Source organism: Homo sapiens, chromosome 2, assembly GCF_000001405.40.
Source record: "Homo sapiens chromosome 2, GRCh38.p14 Primary Assembly".
NCBI lineage: Eukaryota > Metazoa > Chordata > Mammalia > Primates > Hominidae > Homo > Homo sapiens.
Window position 1 is genome coordinate 235,154,266 of NC_000002.12, and position 4,350 is coordinate 235,158,615.

Below are 4,350 nucleotides of genomic sequence, written 5' to 3' on the forward strand. Positions count from 1 at the left end.
ACCTGCATTGTGGGAGGACAGTTTTTTTTTTTTTTCCATTTATAGATTAAACTTCCTCTTGTATTTAGTCCATGCCTCCAGTTCTCAGATTCTTGCTACTTTTCTCCCAGCTGCATATCCTTGCACCTGTCTCCAAATGGCAAGCCTCGGCTACACTTGGATAAACTTTCAGGTTGTGTTTGGATAAACTTTTAGGCACAAGGTGGAGATCAACGATGTTGACTTTCTTGAGAGTTAATGATATAGTTTGGCTGTGTCCCCACCCAAATCTCATCTTGAATTGTAGCTCCCATAATTCCACATGTCATGGGAGGGACCTGGTGGGAGGTAACTGAATCACGGGAACGGGTTTCTCCTGTGCTGTTCTCGTGATAGTGACTAAGTCTCATGAGATCTGATGGTTTTATAAAGGGGAGTTCCCCTGCACATGTCCTCTTGTCTGCTGCCACATAAGACGTGCCTTTGCTCCTCCTTTGCCTTCCGCCATGATTGTGAAGCTCCCCAGCCATGTGGAACTGTGAGTCTATTAAACCTCTTTTCCTTAAATATTACCCAGTCTCAGGTATGTCTTCATTAGCAGCATGAAAACAGACTAATAGAGTTAATATACTTTTTGTTTTGTTTTGTTTTGTTTGAGACAGAGTCTTACTCTGTCACCCAGGCTGGAGTGCAGTGGCTCGATCACAGCTCACTGCAGCCTCCACCTCCTGGGTTCAAGCAATTCTCCTACCTCAGCCTCCCAAGTAGCTGGGATTACAGGTGCCCACCACTGTGCCCAGCTAATTTTTGTATTTTTAGTAGAGGCGGGGTTCCACCATGTTGGCCAGGCTGGTCTAAAATTCCTGACCTCAGGTGATCCACCAGCCTTGGCCTCCCAAAGTGCTGGGATTACAGGAGTGAGCCACTGCACCAGACCCAATATTCTTCTATATATATGAGAAACATACAGTTGGCAATAAACAATGGGAATTTAGAACGAAGGTTTCCCTACCTACTACTGCGTGTTCTTGGGCACAGTACTTAACTTCCCCAATTCTTGTTTCTCTCATCTGTTAAAAGAGAAAGTGTCCACCTCATGGAATTATTGGGAGGATCATATAGGATGATGTCATAAAATCTCATGGGGTTCGACCTGGCACACAGTGGGAGCTCAACTCCTGTCAGCCTGGGCTTCCCACTGTGCAGTCACTGCTTTGCTGTGCTGGGTGGGAGCGGCAGAGCCCAGGTAGGAATTGGAATTGTTAGGAAATTCTTCGTGAAGCAGTTGACCAAGGAAAAGGAAGACTTTGAAAAGTTTTTTCTGCATATACTGGTCAGGATTCTTTCAATTATAAATAACAGAGACCCACCTCATACTGGCTGAAGCCAACAAAAAGAACTGTGGCTCTGGTGCCTGTACTATCCGGAGGGACGGCTGGGGCCTGGGCTTCCTGGGCGTCAGCCCGGGTCTCTTTCTCTCTCCATTTCTCAGGGCTGCTCTTCCTCCATTTTCAAGTAGGAGCTCGGAGCTCACACGGTGTTGGGTTTATTTTCGGGCACAATCGATCCCACTGTCTGTGCTCCCTGAGGAGCCCAAGTTTCCATCAGAATCACAGCCAGCAATTCCAGAGGACACCCGGCTGCTTTTCCCAATAGTTCCAGCAACACCCTGGAGCTGGATCGCATCCCCCACACTTGGGCCATGTGCCTGTCTGTGGCAAGAGGAATGGATGCACTTATTGGTCAGGCCTGAGGCACACACCCCCATCCTAGAACTGACCCACTCAAACCATAGAGACTGAGAGTGAGGGAGGGGGACTTCCTAAATGAAAATTGACATGCTCCAGTCAGTAAAAAAAGGAACGGACATAAGGTAGGCAAAACCAGCAGATAAATGCCACACTAAAGAAATGTGTTTTCCTTGGCATGGATATACCTGGCCCTAATTGAGGGTCATTTCGGTGGTAACCATTTCTCACCAGGCAAATATCTGTGTGAGTGGAGCTGTGCATATATCTGCGAGGGGAGCTGCCAGGTCAAAGTACATCTGAATTTTAGATTAGACAGATATTGCCAAATTACTCCCAACTCCTGCTCTTTTGAGTCTTAGCACTTTAGGTCTCTCCCTTCCTGACTGTGTTCTGTAGTCACCTTGCCAGCCCTAGTGGGGATCGCTCCAAAAGAGTGCCCGCTGGTACCTCCACCTGGATTCTGTTTCAGGGCTCTGCTCTCCCCTGTTCCTTAAAGGTCAGAATTTGAAGCAGATTCCTATTGAGCTCAAAGCCCTGTCCCACTTCATGCCAAAGGATTGCTTCTCGCGCTGCTTTCTGCTCCAACTGATGTATCACATTAGCAGCTAACAGTGGTCATCAGCATGTGGGCTGGTCCCCATACTCCGGGGCCCCACCTGGAAAGCCTTCCCTGGGTGCAGATGGGCAGGGCACACCTGCTCCTGCTGTGGCTCACACTTCCCCTCTTTGGCCCCTGTTCCCACTATCCTAGGTCCGCACTGCCTGGTGGAGTGTCTGCCAGGTTGTGCATGGAAGTCTGGGAATTTGGAGGAGAAAGAACCTTCTGTGATGGCTACTTCCTGGGAGGCCATCAGCTGTCTCTATGCCTCTCCTCCCCCTGTGGCCAGGAAGAACAGAGTAGCCCAGAGGCAACTCAGTGTGCATGTGTGATCCAAGAAATGAGAGAGCACCCAGTGCCAGCCAGCCATTTCAAAGGGCTTCCCCAGCCAGCGATGGGAGTGGGGCATATGTGTGAGTGTGTGTGTGTGTGTGTGTGTGTGTTTGTCTTTTCTCATGCATAAACTTCTCCTGTTTTTGTCTTCTGCATCTTCCCTTCACTCGTCCCCACCTCACTCTCCCAGGCTGCCAGGACCATATCATTCTGTCCATGTGCTCTTTCCTCTCTGTGTTATAAAAAGTGTGCGTGTGCAGTCAAAAGCAGTGGTTTGCTGGTGCATGTTAACCAACAAGCTTCTTGAAGAGAGAAAAAGCTCTGATCAGCATTTGCCTATTTCTGTGGCCAGTTTCAAGCTACAAACATGACATCAGTCAATGCAACGTTGGGAAGAAGTGCACACTAGTTGCCGGGGATTAGGATTTCCACCACACAGGCACACAGATGGAAATAGTCTCACGGCCACTGATAATGTAAAATAAGCAAGAAGTGTTGTGTTTTGAGTTTTATTACTTTGTTTTAAATATAATTTTATTTCCAAGTTTGTATACTTTAATTTTTAATATTGGTTGTGTTTAACAATTGCTTTGCAAAATTCCCAAAAAAGTCACATTAGCTCCTGTGAGCCGGTAAAGCCAGTACATGAATGCCTCCTGGAGGGAAGCAAAGGCCTGAGATTCATGAATTTTCTGACAAGTTTGTGCTCAACAGCTCCTCTTTTTCCTGTACAGCCCTTTGGGGCTGAGTGGCGAGGCCTTGGCTGTGACATCCCACACCCCTATCTCAACTCTGCACTGTTGCCAGGAGGTGTCCTGATTTTGGGTCATGGAGCCTTCTGAAGCGCCCTAAAATGAACGCCTGTGAGAATTGTTTTGAGTTTTTCCCCCAGAGCGAAACTGGGCCTTGATTCTAACATACAGATCTCTGCATGTTGTTATTACATCTCTGGAGTGCCTGGGTCAAGAGCTATCTGTGTGCACTTTTACAAAAGAAAGCAAGAGCTGGCCTCCCTGGCTGCTGGGAATGGACTTACCTGAGACTAGCATAGAAGCTCCTCAGCAGGAGAGTAATTGGTGAAAAGATTCCAAGTGAGTCTCTGGAAGGTCTTATTGTCTTACATAAACTCTCTATTTTAAACTTTCAAGTAAAGAGCTAGAAGACCTCTTTCCACTGATTAGAGAAAACCTAGTTTTGGGGTTAAATCCAGCCAACAAATTTAAGTCTCCAAATTGGTTCAATTTGTAAATTCCTCAACAGTGGCCAAAATGAAAGTCAACAGTTGTGCGTGTAACACAACCCACTGCATCCCTGTAGGGGGGCCTGCGGGTGTCAGGTGGTGAGAACTGACTTCCCCACAGTCCCATCTCTGTCTCTTGCTTCAGGACGTGTGGTCCGCCTGCTGCTCCTCATCCCTGCCAGTTCCGTGCCTTCCCCTCTGATGCTTTTCAACACAGCACTCCAAGAAGCAGCTATCTACCAGGAGACACGTAAGGGAAGAAACAAATGTGTTACCTCACCAACACTAACACACACACACACACACACACACACACAAATACACAATTCAGAGTCTGTATTTTAGGAAACCTTTTGACCACCCCATTTCTTGCCTTTCTGCCACCTATTCATATGGTTCCTTCACTGGCTGGCTTAGCCAGCAGGGGCATCCCTGCAGCAAGCTGCCCC

General features: G+C 47.6%; 1 annotated feature.

Moving 5' to 3' along the window:
- Positions 3,399–3,981: an enhancer, noted in NCBI's record as "OCT4-NANOG hESC enhancer chr2:236066308-236066890 (GRCh37/hg19 assembly coordinates)". NCBI's record gives its function as "activates a minimal SCP1, AML or CMV promoter by ChIP-STARR-seq in naive H9 embryonic stem cells {active_cell/tissue: H9 hESC(naive)}" and the evidence as "EXISTENCE:reporter gene assay evidence [ECO:0000049][PMID:30033119]".